Source organism: Homo sapiens, chromosome 1, assembly GCF_000001405.40.
Source record: "Homo sapiens chromosome 1, GRCh38.p14 Primary Assembly".
In the NCBI taxonomy this organism is placed as follows: Eukaryota; Metazoa; Chordata; class Mammalia; order Primates; family Hominidae; genus Homo; species Homo sapiens.
In genome coordinates, this window is record NC_000001.11 from 77,052,550 (window position 1) to 77,074,029 (window position 21,480).

At 38.7% G+C, this 21,480-nt stretch overlaps 1 protein-coding gene and 1 non-coding gene across 4 annotated transcripts in view; both read left to right on the forward strand.

Annotated features, from left to right (window-relative positions):
• The window catches only part of ST6GALNAC5 (ST6 N-acetylgalactosaminide alpha-2,6-sialyltransferase 5), a 200,067-nt gene extending 185,070 nt beyond the window's left edge, over positions 1-14,997 (forward strand). For all 3 annotated transcript variants that reach the window (NM_030965.3, NM_001320273.2, NM_001320274.2), the window contains one exon: positions 10,426-14,997. In NM_030965.3, the coding sequence (NP_112227.1) occupies positions 10,426-10,657 (232 nt within the window). In that variant the 3' untranslated portion in view covers positions 10,658-14,997. The remainder of the gene's footprint in view (positions 1-10,425) is intronic.
• Positions 7,594-7,653, forward strand: MIR7156 (microRNA 7156). The gene has a single exon (NR_106978.1). It is a non-coding gene; the product is annotated as a microRNA 7156 (primary transcript).
• Positions 14,998-21,480: the final 6,483 nt, after the last annotated feature.

Below are 21,480 nucleotides of genomic sequence, written 5' to 3' on the forward strand. Positions count from 1 at the left end.
TTAATATTAATAAGATATGTAAAATAATTTATATTATTAATATTATCCCAAGCACTTGAGAGTTTCCCTGAAAGATACCAAGAATTCTGAGCAGGGGGCTGGTTCACAACTATAATCCCAGCACTTTGGGAGGCTGAGGCAAGCAAATTGCTTGAGCTCAGGAGTTCAAGACCAGCCTGGCCAACATGACGAAACCCTGTCTCTACAAAAAATACAAAAATTAGCCAGGCATGATAGTGTGCACCTGTAATCCCAGCTACTCGGGTGGCTGAGCATGAGAATCGCTTGAACCTGGGAGGCGGAGGATGCAGTGAGCCGAGATCATTCCACTGCCCTCCAGCCGGGGCGACAAAGTGAGGCTCTGTCTCAAAAAAAAAAAAAAAAAAAAAACAATTTTAAGGGGGGCTTCAAAGACACAGCTTCTTGCCTCCTGGAGGCTTATAATAAGCCTTACCCATGCCAAAATATAAAGAACACAGCAAAGCCACTTACCATGTGACTATAAAAAGATGCAGCTTTTGCAATCTTCATCTAAGAGTTAAATGAGTCTGTAAACAGTACCTTCCTCACCACCAGAGAATGAAAAAGCAACTGGTAGGCTAGTCTGCTACTCATTTGACCATTCCCTCTTTTATCTTTATTTTGAAAGAAGCAGAGAACTATTTGGGGCTGAAAACATGGTACATGTATCATGAGCTCTATGGCTTAAGGAGGTAAGCTATCGCCAGGGCCAAAAATGGTTGTGGATGGTTTTGTGTGGTGGCAGAGCTCACATTGGCTGGGCCCATTGGAATATAGCCTCCCTGAGGGCAGAGTTCTGTGTGTTTACTTCAGTGTTGTAGACCTAGAACACAGGACAGTAGATATTTACTCTCCTGGCATATGGCAGATACTTCATAAATATCAAGGGAATGAATGGCTGTGTCCTCTACTCTCCGTAGTGCTATAGTAAAGGGTGTTGTATATGGATAAAAATAGCCATTTCTGCCTCTCAGAAACTCTGACTTTGAGAAAGTTACCTGACCTCACTGAGCCTTAGTGACTGATATTGGGCAAGCTACCTAATGCTCCATCTCAGAAGCCTTACCCACAAAATGGTGATGACAATTATCATATAAACTCTCTTGCATTGAGAGTTTATACGATAATTGCATGAAGTCATAGATGAGGAATGCTTAGCAAAGTCTCAGGGCCTGTTCAGTACACAGAAAGTTATGGGGTGAAAGGATTCACTGATCTGCAGTTGTGGATGCTCATTGGCGCATTTTACAGAACTGGCATTATGTGGCCTCCAGCTCCTTGCAGGACATCTCATGGGCTGCTCAAAGTGTGCCTGGCCTTTCTACAGCTTCCCTAAGTTCCCAGTGTCTCACTGCAATGAAGAGCTAGCCACGTGGAGCCAGATTTCAGCAGGCAAAAAGAGAGCCAACTCTTCAGTTTGGGCAAATTAACCATTTCAGACCATAAGACAAAATTAGTACCCTCAAAAAAGTCACTAACTAAATAAACCACAAGCCTTTTATTCATTCAGCTAACTCGTGTTGGGTACCAGGGAGGTAATCAGAGATGAATGAGACAGGGTCTCTGCCTTCAGTTGCCTGAGACTCAGTTGACCACAATTAAATCATGAGGTACAGAAGGTTACTCGAGGTGCCTGTGGGAGAAGATGTTCACTCTCTGCCTGTCAGCAGCATCTGACCCACTGAGCTTTATTGGACCATCTGTCTCCAACTTTCAAACTGGACTCAGAGAAGTCCTTGCATTCCACTGATTCTATCAGGTGGCATAGGGATAAGGAGCCAGGACAACAGGAATATTGGACCCTTCCACCCGACTTGGTCAGGGGCAGACCCAGTTGGCTCTGTTTGCATCTGGACTATTGTATAAGATTTCTTTTCAACAAAAGAGCATTTGACAAATAAGAACTTTAACAACCTCTGGTCTAAGACACAACCATGATGCTTTCCAATCTAAATCAAACTCTTTCACACTTTTCAGGAGAGTAGAATCATCACCTTATTATTGTCCCAAAGAGAATGTAAGCTGTCATAGGCATGGTGTGAGGGAGCAGAGGCAGTGGGGCAGAGAGAGAAGGGCTAAATTATATCTTGGGGGAGCAAACTGCCAAGCAATCCGTGAGTGCCTGATCCCCAAGGGGAAGTGTAGGTAACCTGGAGAGTCATTTCCCATCAGGTGTCCTGGAGGTCTGCCTTCTCATCTCACCCAAAGGGCCTGAGTTACTTCTAGGAGTCAGTCATTGGCAAGAAAACTAATTGTACCCCCTAAAAGTATTAAGCCCATGGACTTCTTAGGAAGAAAGATAGCATTGCATTCACATTTAAAACCCCAAGTGGAAGTGGTGGGCATATAAATGGCCATGGTGGCAGATGACAGACATATCTCATTCAAGATCTGGCAGAATCTAACTGACTCAAAGTCATTTGAATGGCATGCAGCATCTTTCATTTGGTACTGTGATGGCCTCCTGGACTGCTCTCTCCATCACTTGTCTTCTTCCTCTCCAAACATGACTGCCTTACTAGATGACAAATCTGACTGTGAAGAGTCACTTAAAACTCCTCAGTGACTTCCCAAAGCTTTGTGAGCAGAGTTCATACTCCCTAGCTTAGCACACAAGACCTTCAGGATAGGGCTTCTGCATACCACTTTAGTCACATCTTCTCTACTGATGCATTTATGTGTTTATTTGTTTATTCAACCTTACTGAAAAATTCATAAAGGAACTCACCCTGCAGACACCTGTTCCTATGACCTCAGTTTGGACTGCCCATCCCCTACTTCCTTAAGCTGGCTGGTTTTCCACTGGCTCTTTACTAATAACATTAATGGCTGATATTTGTTGTGCACATACTTCATGCTGGCTCTGTGCTTAACATGAACACATGCATTATTTTCTTGAACCTTATAATAATCTTATGAGGTAAGCATCATTAATATCACCATTTTACATAGAAGGCTTAAAGACATGAAACAGCTGCCCATGGTCATAGGGCAAATAAATAGCAGAGCTGGAATTTGAATGCAGTCTGCAGGGCTCAAGAGCCAATGCTCTTAATCCTTCAGTTCATTGTTTCAGATACAGTGGCCCTTCTTTCTCAGCTCTCCTTAGCCCCCTGTCTGAGTCAGACCTACTGGGCCCACTGGGCATCCCTCTTCCTCTGCCTTGCCCCATCTCACTGATTGGTTTGTCCATCTCCTTTGTTTGACTCTAGGCTCCTTAAGAGGAGGGCCCTGTCTCAATCCACATTTGTATCATTAGCACTTGTCATTGTGTCTGGCATAGAGTGTATCTTCAGTACAGATTAGTTCAATGAGAAACAAAAATAAGCCCTGTCCATGGGGGTGTTTAAGAGATTGATTCTAAACGTTATTATTGCAAGACCAAAAGTGCCAGGCACATTAAAACTATAACTAGCAAATTCAGATTTTGAGAAGTCAATGAGGGCCACATTGTTTTATTTTCAGCCAGAGCCAGCTCTGGGTACTCAAAGAGGGGCTCAGGCATCAGCCCCCATCCTGCCTGTATCACCAGACTTCAGGCACATCAAAGTTGAGAAAGCTGGAGAAAATTAATGCCATGTTGCACCAGAAACAGCATCAAAATATATTATTCAGTGGACAGTGGACTCTTAAATCATGCCATATCCATACTGTAAGCCAAATTCATTCTCTCTAGATGGCCTATAAATTGCGTGAAAAGATCTGTTGTCGTTGCTTTCCAAACTAAGTTATGCTAAGTATTTAATCTCATTTTCCATTATAAATTATTTGTGATAATAATGGGCCAAGCATTTAAATTCTACCTAATAATCTTATTTCTGGTCATACTTAGCACATTACCAAGTTTACAACTCTCTGTTACCCACCATTTCTTGAGTATTAATTAGCGGGGTAATGATTCAGAGTGATCACTGTCATGGAACTAAATTAATATCTCATCCGCAATATGAAGGACATCTCAAAGGTATCATGAATATCAGAGAGTTGATGCTGCCAGAATTATTAGCTAGCGAACATTAATAAAGCTGCCAGCCTAACAGGGAAAGTTCTTACTTGGCGACAGTCCACCGGGTAGAATCGGAAGCTTACTCACAGAAGACGGGTGTGGAATGGCAATGCCGCCCATGTGGTTTATGTTTTATGAAGTAGACTTAAAATATATGGTTGTGTTTCTCCCAGGGTGAGGGTGGGGCTTGAGTGATTCACTGTGGCTCTTTGTCCCATGAACTGTGGGCAGCTGCAGGCTCTTGGTGCTCCATGCGCCTAGACACACAATGCTATTCCATGGGCTTCCAAGGTATACAGCTCTTTTCCTCCCATAAGAAGATCCAAGGACCAGAAATCAAGGCAGCAGAATAAGGGTGGCTCAGGGCACCTCCAGGACTGTGACAGATGCTTGGGAAGGACTGCTGCAGGAATGTTTTCTTCTCAATGCCTCATAGTGTCACCAAGCCCCCAGAGCAAGCCAATTGCAGAACAACCTAGCAGCTTCACAGCTATTAATTCAACTCTATTCTCTCTATTCTTCAAACATTTCCTGAGTACCTACTATATGCCAGGTACTGCACCAAGAATAGAAATGTGTTTAAAGAGAGTGTCTAAGAGTTCTAGAGAGAGGCAAAGACACCATTCTTTCCTCAGGATATTTGCAGCCTTCTGCATAGTCCAGCCCCAAACCCAGTGGGCAGGGTTAACCTAGATCACACTATAGGAGAGAAAAAGTAATTTCTTTTCCTCATCCATCATAGGTTCTTTGCTGAGACTCCTAGGAAAAAAAGACAGATTAACAAGAGAAAAGCATACACATTTATTTAATATAAATTTTACGTGACACCAGAGCCTTCAGAAATGAAGAGCCAAAGAAACAGGGAGACCTCCTTATTTTTATGCTAAGCTTGATGAGGAAGTGGATAGCTGTGAAGAAGTAGGATTGGACAAAGCAGGTGTGATCTGATGGTAATAAACCAGGGTGGGTGGGAGGAGGTAGCAAGGTATGTTTGTTCAGATTCTTTTGACATTTCCTTGTCTTTGAAGATAAGGATGTTCATTTCCTCCGGATATATGGAGGGTACCTCTGGAATGAAAGTTTATGACCTGCTTTAGACGAGGGCAAAGAAATCTTTTATGAACTGCATCAGAGGAGAACAGTGAAGGGAGGTGAAAGTGATCTCCCTGCTTCTGTTGTTTCCTCAAATGCCAAGGTACCATATTTTGGAGCAACATGTCCTAAACCTCGTCAGTACCCAGAAATGGAAGTGTCTTCCCTTGCTTGTTAGGGTTATGAGGTTTTTTTCAGTTGTAAAACTTAGCTTTAGAAGAGTCAAAAAGTGGAACATTACAAACCCCTGTTGCCATTAGCACCGATGGGCAGAATTGCACATGAGCACAAAGCCTCTGTTTAACACCCTGAGCAGCTCGCAAGCACCACACATGGGGCTCCTCTGTAGCAAGAGCTCGGAGGAAAGCGGCAAGGACAAGCTGCTTTCAACCACACACTGTTGATCCCAGGGAAACCTGGGTGCCATTAGTACAGAAACCCCACCTGGGGGAAAGGAGTTTTTCCAAGACACAGAACCTCACTCTTAAGAGTACAGAGTCAACTGGAGTCAACTGGCTTTGGTCCAAACCTTGGCTGCGAAACTTCAGTTTTTCTGTGCATGAGTTTCCTCGTCTGCAGAGTAGGGGTGCTAATAGTAGCTCTCTGCTATAGTTTGGATATGTTTTGTTTGTTCCCACCAAATCTCATGTTGAAATTTGATCCTCAGTGTTGGACGTGGGGCCTAGTGGCAGGTGTTTGGGTCATGGGGGCAGATCCCTCATGAATAGATTAGTGCCCTCCCTGGGGCGGGGCATGAGTGAGTTCTCACTCTATTTGCCCCCAACAGAGCTAGTTGTTAAAAAGAGCCTGGCACCTCCCCCTTTCTCTTCTTCCTCTCTCGCCTTGTGATTTATGCACATGCCAGCTCCCCTTCACTTTCTGCTAGGAGTGGAAGCAGCCTGGGGCTCTCCCCAGATGCCCAACCTTGAATTTTTTGAGACATCAGAATCATGGGCCAAATAAGGCTTTTTTCTTTATAAATTACCCAGACTTGGGTATTCTTTTCTAGCAACACAAAATGGACTGACACTGTCTTATAGGGGTGTTGTGAGGACTAAATAAGTGAGTGTATGTGGAGTGCTGAGCACTGTGTTCTGAGCTGAAATAGTCAAGTCCAGCAGCTTGGATGGACAATAAGTCAGGTTGTGTGCTGAAAGCCAGGCAGTGGACTGTCTCCCTGGGTATCAGATGCTCCCTATCAAATGGGAGCTGCAATACTTGCCTCAGAGGGCTGATGAGGATGTAAAGGAGATCACATCAGTTAAGCGCAGAAGCTGAGCAGGTACTTACAAAATCAGTTGTCTCAAACTTAGCTGCATATTAGAATCTCAAGGAGCTTTCCACCATTTGAATCTTCTAAAAAGCTTTGTTGTTATGATATGTATTATTTAAAAATATGTTTATTTTTGTTTCAAATAATTTTAGAGTTACAGAAAGGTTGCAAAAATAATACTGAGAGTTCATATAACTTTTATCCAGCTTCCCCTAATGCGGATTTGCATTCCTATGGTCCAATTATCAAAAGTAAGAAATTAACATGAGTATAATGCTCAGCTAAACTACAGGCATTATTGAGATTTTACCAGTTTCTCTACTAATGTCCTTTATGTCCTCCAAGAACGAATCCAGGTTCCCTTTGCATTTATTTATCAGGTGTCCTCAGTCTCTAAATCCATGGCCGTTCCTCAGGCTTTCCCTGCATTTCATGACACTTTTGATGAGGACTAGTCACGTATTTCATAGAATGTCCTTCACTTGGGGTTTATCTAATGTTTTCCTGTGCTTAGATTGAGGTTATGCATTACTGAGAAGGATACCACAGAAGCCATAGGCCCTTCCCAGAATCTCATAACAGGAAGTATGTGATGTCCATACGTCTTATTACTGGCAATGTTAACCTTCATCACTTGGTTAAGGTAATGTCTGCTGGGTTTACCTATTGTAAAGATAGTATTTTTCCCTTTGTCATTAATAAATAACTTGGGAGAGATACTTTCAGGTTATGCAGGTAGCCTATTTCTCCTCATCTTTTTCCCCATTAATGTTCTGTTCATTTGGTGCATCTTGCCTGCGACAATTACTGCAACGTTCTGAGGATGGTTTCCTAGTCCCTCATTTTTTCTACATTGTTTATTGGAATTTTTCTGTCTTGAAATGCTGTTTCTTCTCCTCCATTTATTTGTTTATTTATTCAGTTATTTATTGAAATTATCATGGACTCATGGATATTTATTTTATTTTATTGGTTTTATAATCCAATACTGACATTGTTTATTTTGGTTCAAACCTAAGACACTTTCTAAAATACCTGTGCCTGAGTTCCTCTCCAAGTCATCCGAAGCAGAGTCTATGGGGTTGGAGCATAGGTATTTCCTTAAAGCTCCCCAACCGCACTAAATGTTAGTTCCCTCACTCTCCCCACCTGCTTCCTCTAAAAAGAAAAAAAAATTCTTCCTCAAATCATTCTGCAGGGCTTGTTCTCAAACTGGCTGTCAGAGTGTGCATGGCAGGCTGCAGCCACTTGGGGAACTGGTTCTGTGGTTATCTCCATTCCTGCCTCCCCAGCCCGCATATCCTTTCCTTCAGCTCACGGGGCCCACAATGGGAACTTGAGTACCAGAATTCCTTTTACAACTGCTTCCTCATGTGGAAATTCCGCTGAGGTTTATTGTAGTTTTCACTGAGGTCAGGTGAAGGAAGAAAAAAACTAGGGCAGTCTTTAGAAAGTCAGGTTTGAGAAAAGACCCAAGGAAGTATGACCTTCAGCTAGGAGTGTCTTTCTAAATGGCATAGTGAATTTAGTGAATTCCAGCTGATGGCAGGCTCACAGCTGGGGTAGATGTTCCTGCAGTTTCCAGCGCTGCCTTCTGAGTCCCAGAAAGCACTTTTCTGCTGCTTGGACAGAGTTTTAACATGTGGAAACAACTCGCTTACATGAATAACTTATCTTGACACCTCTGAAATCACAGTAACCAAATATGTAAATTTAATTCTCTTTTTAGGGGATCAATATGGAGTCAGATAAGTTTTTTTTCCAAAGAGATGGTCTTCCTGAATAAGGAAATTGATCCTGTAGCATCTTTAGCTGGTTTCCAATTGCCCCCTACTCCTAGGTGCCGAATCAATCTTATGATATTTTTAGAAACCTAACTGTTTCTTTAGTCAGATTGATGCCAATAAAATGTCCAAAACTTAGATGAATCAAATTTAAAGTGATTTGTGATGGAATAAAAGCTTAACCCCAAGCATACCATGGCAACATGAAATTGGCATGGTTCCCCCAAATTATGCCATATGAATATGGGAAGATATGTCTCACAAATTCTTATTTTTTTCTTCATAGTGGTCAGCTTCAACCTGAATTTTTGTTAGAAGGCATTTTTTGTGTTAAAAACACCTTCTATTAAAATTTTAATGGGATTCCAATTTCTAGGGTAAGTAAATTAATAAAATCTGCAATAACTAGTCAGGAAAGGATCCAGTGTTTCACTACAGAACATAGAGATAATTCCAAGACGGGCATATTAGAGATGCAAAGTGTTAATTCAGCATAGCATCCAAACCAGGATAAGGAATGTTTAGATGCTGCATGACAAAAATAAATCTCTCTTCCTGGAAGAACTTTAACCTAAGAGGAGAAACAGCTCAAAGGTTTATTGTTGTCAGAGCCAAAAACATGACACCCCTCTTGATAAAAGACTTCGATCCCTGACCCCAGTAGAGTTGCTACTCTAAAAGCTATTTGTGTATTGATCTCCTCTGAAGAAAACGAATAGGTGTCTGGCAGGATGAGCATCTTTGGGAAACCAAGTTATTATACTTAGAGGAGAGCCCAGGTGACCAAAGTGGGAACCCTAGGGCATCAGGCTCTGAAAGATGATTTGCAAGATGCTGGGAAGCCTGGGCCTTTTCTCTTCTTAGTCTCTGCAACAAGGCCAGTTGCTGAGCATAGCTCAAATTAGGAAAGTTTGTCTGCCAAGAAACCTTGACTAATCTTACCATTCATTCTTCAAAAGACAGAAGAGGTGGGCTAGACTGGCCTGTTTTAGAAACCAGTCTGAGACCAAGACTCTTTAGTGCGTAAATATTTATTAACCCTCAAACAAGGGCACCTACCACCCCCACATGTTAATCCTATGCACACCATCTTGAAGAAATGAGCCAGTACTTCCTGTTTGAGGCTGAGACAGAGATATAGAGGCAGAAAAACACTCGGAGACTCTCAGGCCACCAAACAAGGACTGAGGATGTAGAGTTTCTGGACTAAAAGACTGTAGACTTTGAGTACATAGGCCCTCTGAAGCATCAAAAGAAAAATCGTGGCCTCTTGTTTGCTGTCTTCCTTTTTCTCCCATAGGATCAAACTAAGATCATCAACTTTCCAAACTCAGAGAAGAAATTTGCGTTTAGCTGCTAATTCCATATAAATTTAGAAGTTTGCTATTTAGCTGCTAATTCCATATAAATTTCTTTCAACAACATAATTTTTAAAATTATTTATTAAGCACCTACCAGGGACTGTTCCAGGAATAAGACAAAACACTGCCCTCATGAACACCCAATAAACAAGTAAACAGCAACAACAATTCCAGACAGCAATTGATGCTATAAAGAAAATGAATTCAAGTGAGATGAAGTGAGGGGAGCAAGTGTCAGGTAAGGCCTCTCAGAGAAGGATATTACTTGAGCTGACACCCAAAGGTGAGGAGTGAACTCAGAGAGGGTATTCCAGGCAAGTGACCACCATCAAGTGCAAAGGCCCTGAAGTAGGGATGAGCTTTGTAGAGTTGACCAGAAAGGCCAGTATGGTGGGAACATACTGGGAATCCACAAGGCTGGGTGGATTAGGAGAAGACTTAGAAGGGGAGCCACATCATAATGCATCCCAGCAGCCATGCTCTCTGTATAACTGGAAGCCTCTGGAAGCTTAGTGGAGTGGGGAATGGGAATGACATATTTTGTTTTGGTAATATCTCTGCAGCTGCTTATGGTAAATAGACTGTAAGAAGAGTGAAAACAATACTATTGTTGTGACTTATTAATATGTAGGGTCTAAATCTGAGGAGACTGAATGTTCTGCAGCTCATTTTCAATCTCTTTGATGAAAATGATGGGCACTGATTTTATTTCACAACCTCAAAACCTCTCCACTTCCTTATTGTGTAATCAGAAAAACCATTTGTTCAAACTCATTTAACTAGAAAATACAATTTTTATCAGCTTATTAAAGATAACATCTTACCTCAATCAGTCAAAGGAAAAAAAATTTTTTTGCTTTAATCAGTTATCTCAATTTCCTCCTACAGGGATCCCAATCACCCTTCAGTACCTTATCATTATTATGAACCTTTTGGACCTGATGAATGTACAATGTACCTCTCCCATGAGCGAGGACGCAAGGGCAGTCATCACCGCTTTATCACAGAGAAACGAGTCTTTAAGAACTGGGCACGGACATTCAATATTCACTTTTTTCAACCAGACTGGAAACCAGAATCACTTGCTATAAATCATCCTGAGAATAAACCTGTGTTCTAAGGAATGAGCATGCCAGACTGTAATCCCAGGTATTCACTGCATCAGACACCGAGACACTGAACTTCCTGAGCCACCAGACAGGAAAGGGTAGCAGAAAACAGCTTCACTCCTCAGGAAGTACCATGGACAGACGCCTACCAGGGGTGACAAAGCAGTGCAGTTGGATTGTAAGGAAAAATTCCGGAATTAATGCATCCTAATGAATGTTGTCCCCTTCAATGGTGTTACCTTAGGAGCTGAACATTCAATTCAGTTACACCACTATGACTAAAAACAGTTTGGATCTCTTAGTATTGCCTTTGAAACTGCAACATAAGCAACTCAACAATATTAGTTGCATTCCTTTATAGACATACCATGTCAAAGACGTTTTTCTATCAAGTTGTATTCTTTCCTGTTCTATAACCTTTGTCATCTGTTAGACTCTGTATGTGTGATTTGTAAAAAGCAGGCTGAAACTATGGACATGATTTCTGAAGAGCACATCTCCACTGACTTTCATAAAGCAAATGTCCAATATTTATTTATTGAGAGTTTTTTAGTGCAATCTGGGCCAGTATTTTTATAGATTATGATTATGTGGTAATTTATCCTTCCTAACTCTTTAATCCTGAATGATGGTTGGAAATGGCCTAGAATTAGGTTACTCTGTTCACAATGCTCATTGTTAGCATGCAATTGGTATTTGACTTGGAAGTGTTGTGTTGTATTTTTTGAACCCCTAGGCTTCAGGAAAACTGCTCTTTTGTAAAAAGAATAGCGATGACATTTTCTAATGTGCAGAAATGTTCCAAAAGGACAAAATTGAAAACCAAAAACTATGTTATTAAAACAAAAAAATGCTAACAAGAGAAATTTAAAGGTAGTTTTCTTTAGTAATAATTTATGTAAGTGTCCTCTCTTGAGCCCTAGTTTCCTTTTTGGCAGAATGATGTCACTGTACCAGACAACCTCTTAGGTTTCATCCCAAATCTAAACTTGTGGCCTCTTCTTGACCCATTTGAAGACTCTGCACTTGGAGTGATGGGGCCCCAACAGTAGCAGGAACTTTATTTTGGGGAGCCTTATCTACATTCATATTACTTATATCACTCTTGTGGTTAAAACTACACTTCTTCCTGTGTCCACATGGGCTAAAATCTACCCCCTGCTTCTCTCGAAGCATCACCATCCGCCTCTTCCCCAGCCTCTCAACACAAAAACACAGGATACACACACACACACACACACAAAAGACATAGCTCCAAGGGGTTCCCTGGCTACAATAGCAAACAGCTGCCCTTCTGTGAGGAAAAGAGACTACAAGGACATGCCCTATCATTCAACTCATTTATGCTATGAACTGTTTAGACTCACTACAAATCTTCTTAGATTATATTCATTACCATTCCCTGGTCTGAAGGAGTATAAAGGACTTATTTTATTCAGAGCCAAGATAAATTCATATTATAGATTTTTATTTAAACAAGTAATATTGTTCAAAAATAGTCTCTTATAAATATACTAGTGTTTTCTTTACACATGACTTAGAAGGCATTAGTTTCTCTAATGCCAAATTTGAAGGCACCAGCAAATATTATGTATGAAGACTGACATTGTTTTACAGACATGACCTGGCTTATGATAAAAGAAGTTTTATCGCATTACCACTTCTTTTCCCTTTTCTTAATTAGTACACTAACTAGTACTATTAATTACACGGAGTATTGTTGTTAAAATGCAAACACAATCAGGGTACTCACATAACATAAACAAAGTTGATATTGATGTGTATGGCTTGGGCTGTTCAAAGCCAGTAAGATTGAAATGGCCGTCCAAAACATACTGGAATATGTTCTTTAAGTTTTCTCATAGTTTTTAAAGGGACTATGAATTTTATTCCAACACATTGTCTTCCACAGCATGGACTCTGAACACATCATACTTTATCAACATATGAAAAAGTGTATTAATTTTATACAATTTACTTATAGGCCACCTTTATAATCACTTGAAGACGTTATGTTGCTCAAACATAAGTGGCTCCTTTGGCAATTTCTATATTTGTGGAAATTTGGAAAGGCATAGTTTCAACATGCAAGAATGTAATTATATTGCTTCATCTAATAATATCTCACATATCTGTCTATCTTCAGATTTTAGATTTTCTTTATTAAAAAAACCATCATGGTAGCTCCATCTCGTTTGTAACTTCTCCCTCTCAAATACTCAGAAGAATGAAGAGGCCAAATTCAGAAAATCATGGCTTCACTGGGAAATGTTTTAAATCTACATGTAGCTAGGATATGTGATTTCATATTTTTTAAAAATGTGGTGTAAATAAGTGTAAAAAATTACCACTTGCAAAGTGGTTTTATTACAGCGTTAAAGAAAATGACTAGAATTCTGATAGATTGTGCTGATGAACCTGGTTGTGGGCAATTGAATTCTTGTCTTCCCACTACCATTTCATGACTGTCGTCTGAACACTATTCAACACCATTAAATATAAACTCTGATATAAAAGATGACTACAGAACCATGTTTATAGACCTCGGTGATTTCAGTATCTGATTGTGTTTGATGCCTAAGTCATACTCGTTATGTTACATGCCTTTTTCCTCTCTCCCAGCTGTGTCATCAGCTCCCTCCTAGCTTTTAAGACCACAGTAATACAATGCCACAGCTGGTCGATCCATGGCTTCTGTTATTTCAACACAAGAACATTTGGCAGAGGCCATTACAATAGATAGCCATTATGGGCAAAGATACGGGAATTTGCAAACAAAATCAATCACTTCAAATGGCCCATAAAAGGAGGAATCTCAGATTTAATATTCTACGGTAAATATTCACCCAAGAAAGCATACATTAAAAGAACATTAGGAGGTAAATATTCAGCATGCTGCATGGAGACTTAGCTGTGTGATTTCCATTACCGTTAATGGGCATTTGGCAACTAAGTCCCTGTGCTTTGCTAACCCTGGTGTGTACTCCTAAGGGCTACACATAAAACCTGAGCAATTCAGAGACTTCTGAGGTCATCAGATTTCAGAGTAAGATCTTTTCTTTAAAAAAAAAAATAGATGAAAGCAAAACACAACGTATTGTACCTAAAAGAGAAATTTGTGTGGTCTCTCACAATCCTTAGGTTACTACCAGATTTGTGTATCCTTTGTTTTCTGAAGTTCTCTCCATTACTGATCTATTTGAATGACATGAGAATGGAGGGAAATAATCTCATTTTGAAATAAAAACTCCCCTCAAAAATTAAAATTACCGACTTAGAAGATGATAAATGCTAAGTAAAAGTAGAAGGAGAAAGTTGAAATTCTATTAGGATTAAGACAGTGTTATTTAAAGGCACATGCACCCATTTAGTACCTGCCTAAATATTTGCCCTTGTGTAAGAGCAAACTCATTTCAGAAATATATCCTGAATTCCACCAGGGTGATGGTTCAAATTGTTAAATAAACCTACTCTGAAAGAAGGGTCCATGTTCCTATTCTCTCTCTGCAGTGTTGGGAGGTGATGTTAACACTCTACATGTTTTGTATCTGACCCAATCATTTCTTCCATTCTCATTGCTTCTCTCTTAAACCTCATTGTATCTCTTTACTGTCATTTTCTCCCAATTGTCTTCTTTTGTCTACAGTGTGCTCCTAAACCAGCAGTCTTTGGTGCTGTTAAGGTCTTCCTTGTAGGTTTTTAAACTAAAGATCTATCTGGGAAACAGATTTGGGGTAGGTCCTGCCAGAGTAATGACCATGGTAGGTGGGAGGAATATATCTGGCTACCATACAAGGTACTTCAGAAGTACCATTATGGTTTGCCCAGGGCCAAGTGGGGAGTGAAGAAGAGGGGTCCCCAAGACACAGACTTCAGTGCTAAAACCAGGGAAGTCCTGGGCTCCATGACAGTGGCTCACCCTATCAGAAGGCCACGTCAAAGAGAACTATAATAATAAGCCCTGGGGGGCAGGATGTGTGAACCAATTGCCTAGGTGTTAGCACATGCCAGAAGGTACTTTGGAATGGAAAGAGGTGAGAGTGTCTCAAGGTTTAAAAATGAGCAAGTGTAGCCCCTCTTTTGTAGCTCACTCATCCCACCTTCTCAGGGTGTTGAAATGCAAATGCAAAAAGGCTGAAACCCTGTTTCTTTCTACTCAGTGCCCTAATATTATATACTACCTTGAATTGTGCTTCGTCTTTTTATGCATGTGTCCTGTTAGTCTAATTAGATTGTAAGCTCCTTGAGGGCAGAGACTCTTTCTCCTTTGTCTCTGCAGCCTATACCTAGTATAGTGCCTTGCACACAATAGGTGCTCAATAAATGTCTGTTGTTGATCATGACCTCTTAATGTTGACCCACTGGATTAGTAATTGGGTATAAACACATCCTTCTATTTTAAAAGTACAAGAAATGCAATATGTTATGATACAGTAAAATTTTAAGTGAGTTTTTATAGGGTTAGTTCTTAAACCTATAATGTTTTTAATCAACAGAGCTGACCTAGATTTCAGTAGGATAATGTTGCTGAATTCATTACATTTGCTAATCCTGGCTGTACTAAGCACACAGGTGAAGTAAAGTTCAGCAAGCTTTGTGTTTTCGCTGTTAGTGAACTGCTCTTAGCACAAATTAAATTTAATATTGACAAATGCTATGCCATCTGCAGAAAGGCGGAAGAACAGCTTGGGCTCTGACTTCTGTGGTTCAACGACAAAAGGAAGGCTAAAATGAGACAGGTTATAACCTGCTTTAAACTTGACAGCTTTCTAAAGCTGCTGGGAATCCAACTGGTGGTTATTGAAGGTCTATAAAAATTAAGTATACATTTATCTTGAAAATGAAATGAAACAAACAAACAAAAAAACATTTTGTTTCCATGAAGCAGATCCAAAATGGTTTCACCTCTACCAGAATGTGAAGGGAAAGGAGAGCCCTTGGGAAAAGCTGTCCTCAGGCAGAGCATCGCAGGCTCCTGAATCACCACCTGGCCAGAACCCGGTGTTCAGTTACATCCCAGCTACAGGAGAGGGCAACAGGCAGGCAGTAAAGGTGAGTCAGCTGCCACCTTTACTTCTACAAAGGACCATATCATTCCCTTCTTGAGCATGTGGACACTCTAGAATTCCTCTTTCATCATCTACTCTTCCACATACTTATTTAAATGTGTGATCTCAATTTCATTTTTTAAAGCACAGGAAAAGGGCTAGAAGATACTAAACTGAGAAGACTGCTTATTTCTAAATGGAGAGGATCACAGATTTTCTAGCATTTTCAAAATTTATATTATAATCACAAAATGTTATTTCATAAAATTTTAAGAATGTCTTTGCTCACAGCATAAGTTATCTCAAGAGTTAGTGTCTTTAGTCCTGTACCATGTGACTAGCTCTTTAATTTCAAAACCAAATATAGGAAATCCATAAGATTGAGTCAAAATTTTTATAATTATACTCTACCTACTGAATATCTTCTGTGTTTTGCACGTCTTTTGTGACATACATGTTATTTCACCAAAATCCTATTATCCCATTTTGCAGACAAGCAAACTGAAACTAACAGAAGTTGTGTGTCTGGCCCCCTGGGTGATGAAGATGAGAACAGACACACAGCATGTCTTGTACCGAGCATTCTTCTATGTGCTTCAGGTATATAAATGCATTTAGTCCTCCCAATAACCCCATGACATAGGTTCTTTTATCATTCCCCTTTACAGATGCAAAAATTGAGGTACAAGGCACTTCAGTAACTTACCCAAGGTCATGCCTCCATTAAGTGGGAAAGGCAGGTTAGAAGCCAAAGGGTCTGTCTCTGGAGTGTCTGTTCTTTGTCACCATGTACTTCTTGGCAGAAATTTAATCCTATAGGCAACAATTTCTATTAGGATATTCATTATATAATATTCGATACACACCAAATAATGTGATGAGTATGTATATTATGAAGGAAACATAAAAAGAACATTATCACTACTTTTGAAGCTACCTGAGTATTTCTTCTATTGCCTTGAATTTTTTTATTTACCATTTTCTTGCTTTCTGAATGGTTTTATTACATACAGATGTATATATAAATACTATATCATTTAGTTTTGTATATTTACAAACATTATAAGCCTGTTAAAATGTTGTATATAGTCTTCTGAAACTTGCTTTTTCCCAAGATTTATCCATATCCTTTGCATATACAACTCCAGTTTATTTGCACTACTGTATAATGCCATCATGTGAATATACCATAATTTACTTTTATCCATTCTTTTAGTAAATATTTGGGATTTTTGCTTGTTACTAATATGTACAATGCTTGTATGAACATTCTTAGAAAATTCTAGTACGTTTGCAAGAATTTTGTAGAGTGCATACCTAGGAATCAAATTGCTGAGCTGTAGAGTCAAACAGTTCACATGTGCACGATATTGCCAAATCGTTTTCCAAAGTGGTTGGACATTTTATAGTTCTAACAGTAGTTGTCCACATCCTTGCCAACATTTGGTATTTCCAGACTGTAAATTTTTGACCAACTGGTGGATGTAAATTATATCTCATTATGGTCTTTACGGGTATTTCCCTTATTTTTTATGTAGTTTAGCATTTTTTCCTATTGTTAATTCTCTATGAGTGTTACTTCATCTGTGAAAATGGCTATTCATCTTTGTTCACTCTTCTCCTGGGTTACTTTACTTTTTGATTTAAAGAATTCTTAGTATATTCTTGATACTACTTTTGTTGATTCTATGTGTTATAAACATCTCCTTCCAATTTGTGGCTTGTCTTTTCTTTTTCTCTGTGGTGCGTTTCAAGGAACAAAAGTTTTACATTGTACTGTTTATGTCAATTTCATGTTTTCTATCTTACATCATTACAGCTTCTTATTCCTTATTTAATAACTCTTCCACTGTTCTTAATCATTAACTATTTTCCTATATCTTATTCTAGAAATTTCAAAGGTTTTGTCTTTCACATGGCAGTTAGGGATTTATTTGCTTGTATGATGTGAGGTAGAACTCACTTTTGTTTTTATATAGATACCAACTGTCCCAGCCAGCACAATTTACTGAAGAATTTGTTTTTCCCTAGTGATTTGCAATCAAATTTTCATATATGTGGGAATTTATTTCTGCTCTCTGTAATCTGTTCAATTCTGATCAAATTGACTATCTCTTTACAATAAAAATCATGGTCTTAATTACTATAACTTTATAATAAATCTTGATATCTTGTGGTAAAATTTCTTCCTCACCTTATTCTGCCTTCGGGGAATGTCTTGCTTATTCTGGTTTTTTTTTTTTTTTTTTTTTAGTTATAAATTTTTACCGAGGTAAAATTTTCATTCAGTAAGTACACAAATCTTATGTTTATAGATTAATGAAATTCTGTATGTCTATGCACCTGAGTAACCACTACGAAGGTCAAAATGTGGTATGCTTCCATTATCCTGGAGGCTCACTCATGTCTCTTCCAGTCAACCTTTCCATCCAGAGTAACCATCATTCTGACTTGTATCCATGTAGATTTGCTCTGCCTGTTTTAAAATTTCATACAAATGGAATCATGTGTCTCATATATATATATATATATTTTTTTTTTTTTTTTTTTTTTTTGAGACAGAGTTTCGCTCTTGTTGCCCAAGCTGGAGTACAATGGCACGATCTCACCTCACTGCAACCTCTGCCTCCCAGGTTCAAGCGATTCTCCTGCCTCAGCCTTCCAAGTAGCTGGGATTACAGGTGTGCACCACCACACCTGGCAAACTTTTTGTATTTTTAGTAGAAACGGGGTTTAACCATGTAAGCCTGGCTGGTCTTGAACTCCTGACTTCAGGTGATCCACCCACCTTGGCCTCCCAAAGTGCTGGGATTACAGGCATGAGCCACCACACCCGGCCCATGTGGTATATTTTTATATCCAACTTCTCAGTCAAAATTATGTTTGTAAGGTTTATTCCTGTCAATAGTTATTCTTTCATTGCTGTGTAGTATGGCATTGCACTAGAATTACTAATTCTAATATTGATGGTCTTTTGGGTTGCTTTCATTTTAGGGCTACTATGAATATAGTTGTTATGAACATTCCTAAACATGAATTTTGGTGGACTGTCTTGGTCCATTTGGACTGCTATAACAAAGTGCCATAGACTGAGTGGCTTCCAAACAGCAGAAATTTATTTCTCACAGTTCTGAAGGTGAGAAAGTCTGAGATTGGGTGTCAGCATCTTCAGATTCTGCTAAGAGCACTTTTCCACATTGCAGAGTCATCTTCGCATTTTATACTCAGCTGGCAAAAACATGGCAAGAGAGCTCTTTGAGGTCTGCTCAGGGATTCTTCAGGCCCAGTCCCCATTTTAATTTACTCCAACACACTGATTTTCAAATGTTAATACAAACTTGCATTAGTAGGGAAAAAAACCACTTAGTCATGATGTAGTATCATCCTTTCTACTTATTATATTTTAGCACTGTTTTTTAAAGGATTTTTAAAAACGTTTTCACAAGATAGCATGGTCTGTAATTTTTCTTGCTTGTATTAACTTTTTCAGGTTTTGATATCAAGGTTATGCTAGTGTCATTAATGGATTAGAAAGTGTTTCCTCTTTTTCTATTTTCTACAAGAGTTTGTGTAATGTTGTTATTATTTCCTCCTTGAGTGTTTGAAAGAATCGAAGCCATTTGAAACTGTAATTTTCTGTGTGAAGATATTTTTAATTATAGATTCAGTATCTTTAATAAATACAGAAATAGATTTTCTACTTCCACTTCTGTCAATTTTGGCGAATTGTGTTTTAAAATAAATTTGTCCATTTCATCTAAATGAAATAAAGTTGTTTGTAATATTCTTAGTCTCTTTTTAATTTCTGCGGGATAGCTTGTATATCTTTTTCTCTTTCCTGTTAGTGGTTCTCCCTGTCTCTCTCTCTCTCTGTTTAACTTGACAGGAGTTTCTTGTAATTGTTTGTTTGTTTAACATATCCTTGAAATTTTTATATTAATTAGTGTTTTCCTCCTCCTGTTATTGGGTTTAATTTGCTGTACTTGTTCTAGCTTCTTCAGGTAGAAGTTTAGATCTGTGATTTTTTTCATTCTTCTTGGCTAATATCTGAATCTAGAGCTATAAATTTTTCTCTAAATTCTGATTTAGCTACATTTCACAAGTTTTGATATGTTGAATCTTCATTAACATTCACTTCAAAATATTTTAAAATTTCCCTTGTGATTTATTCTTTAATGCATGAGTTATTCAGATATATGTTGCTTAATTTCCAAATATTTTGGCATTTTCTAGAAACGTTTTAGTTAATTTTTAACTCTGTTCCATTGTGGTCAAACATCACAATAATACTCTGGCAAATAATACTCTGTATTATTTCCATTCTTTTTTTGAAATTTATTTAGACTTTTCTTAATGGTCCATAATGTTGTCTATTTTGATGAATATTCCACGTGGACTTAAAAATGTGTACTTTAGGCCGGGCACGGTGGCTCACGCCTGTAATCCCAGCACTTTAGGAGGCCGAGGCGGGCGGATCACGAGGTCAGAAGATCGAGACCATCCTGGCTAACATGGTGAAACCCCGTCTCTACTAAAAATACAAAAAAAAATTAGCCGGGCGTGGTGGTGGGCGCCTGTGGTCCCAGCTACTCACGAGGCTGAGGCAGGAGAATGGCGTGAACCCGGGAGGCGGAGCTTGCAGTGAGCCGAGATCGTGCCACTGCACTCCAGCCTCGGCGACAGAGCGAGACTCCATCTCAAAAAAAAAAAAAAAAAAAAAAAAAGTGTGCTTTATTATGGTTGTGGATAGTAATCTTTATGTGTCAATTAAGTTGATTACTAATGTTGTTTAAATCTTTTTTATACTTAACTGATTTTATTGTCTGTTCATTCTATCATTTACTAAGGGGAATATATGGAATCCTACAACTATTTCTCTGTGAATTCCTGTTTTCTCTTTTAGACTGACTTCTGCCTTGAAAATGTGTTGTTGGGTGCATACATATTTAGGATTGTTATACCTTCCTTTAGAAGTGATCTTTTTGCCATTATAAAATGTAGCTCATTATCTTTAGTAATGCTGCACTCCTTAAAGCCAATTTTGCCTGGCACTGGTATAGCTACACTTGCTTTTGTTAATGTTTTTATGTTTATATCCTTTTCTACCCTCTAATGTCCTTTTAATTTCAATTGTCTTGTGTTCTTTCATTTAAATTGTTTTTCTTATAAACAGCAGTAATTTACTTTTGTTTTTTATCTTGTCTGATGCAAGATATTTTTACTGAACACTGCATTTTACTTTGACAGGTTTTTTCCTCAGCACTTGATGTCATTCCATTGTCTTCTTGTTTCCATAGTTTCCATTTTTATTGTATAAATATTTATATACACACATATACATATATACATGTCTGTATTTATACATATAAGTACATATGCATTTATATATACATATATGTACAAAGAGAGAGAGAGGGACGTTCTATCAGTTTTGTTTCTCTGAAAAATCTTGACTAATAGAGGCGATGTCTTAGGTTTCTTCACTGTAAAGTTACTCTTTTCCCCTTTGTAATTGTTAAGAATCTTGCAGGTTGATACTTTGAAAATATGCAAATATCCTGTTTTTTATCATACTATCACTCACTTATGTTAACATCCATTGATGATCCTTGCTGCAAAAATTATTACTGTGGTGTTTACCAAATAGTGATTTTTTTTAATTTTCATCACTTATTCTATATTTTGTCTGGAATCTGGAGTTGTACTGTAAGGAAGAATCACCTCTTTTCCCCAGTTATTCAGATATTTTAAATTTCCAAATATATAGGACTTCATTAATCGTTTTA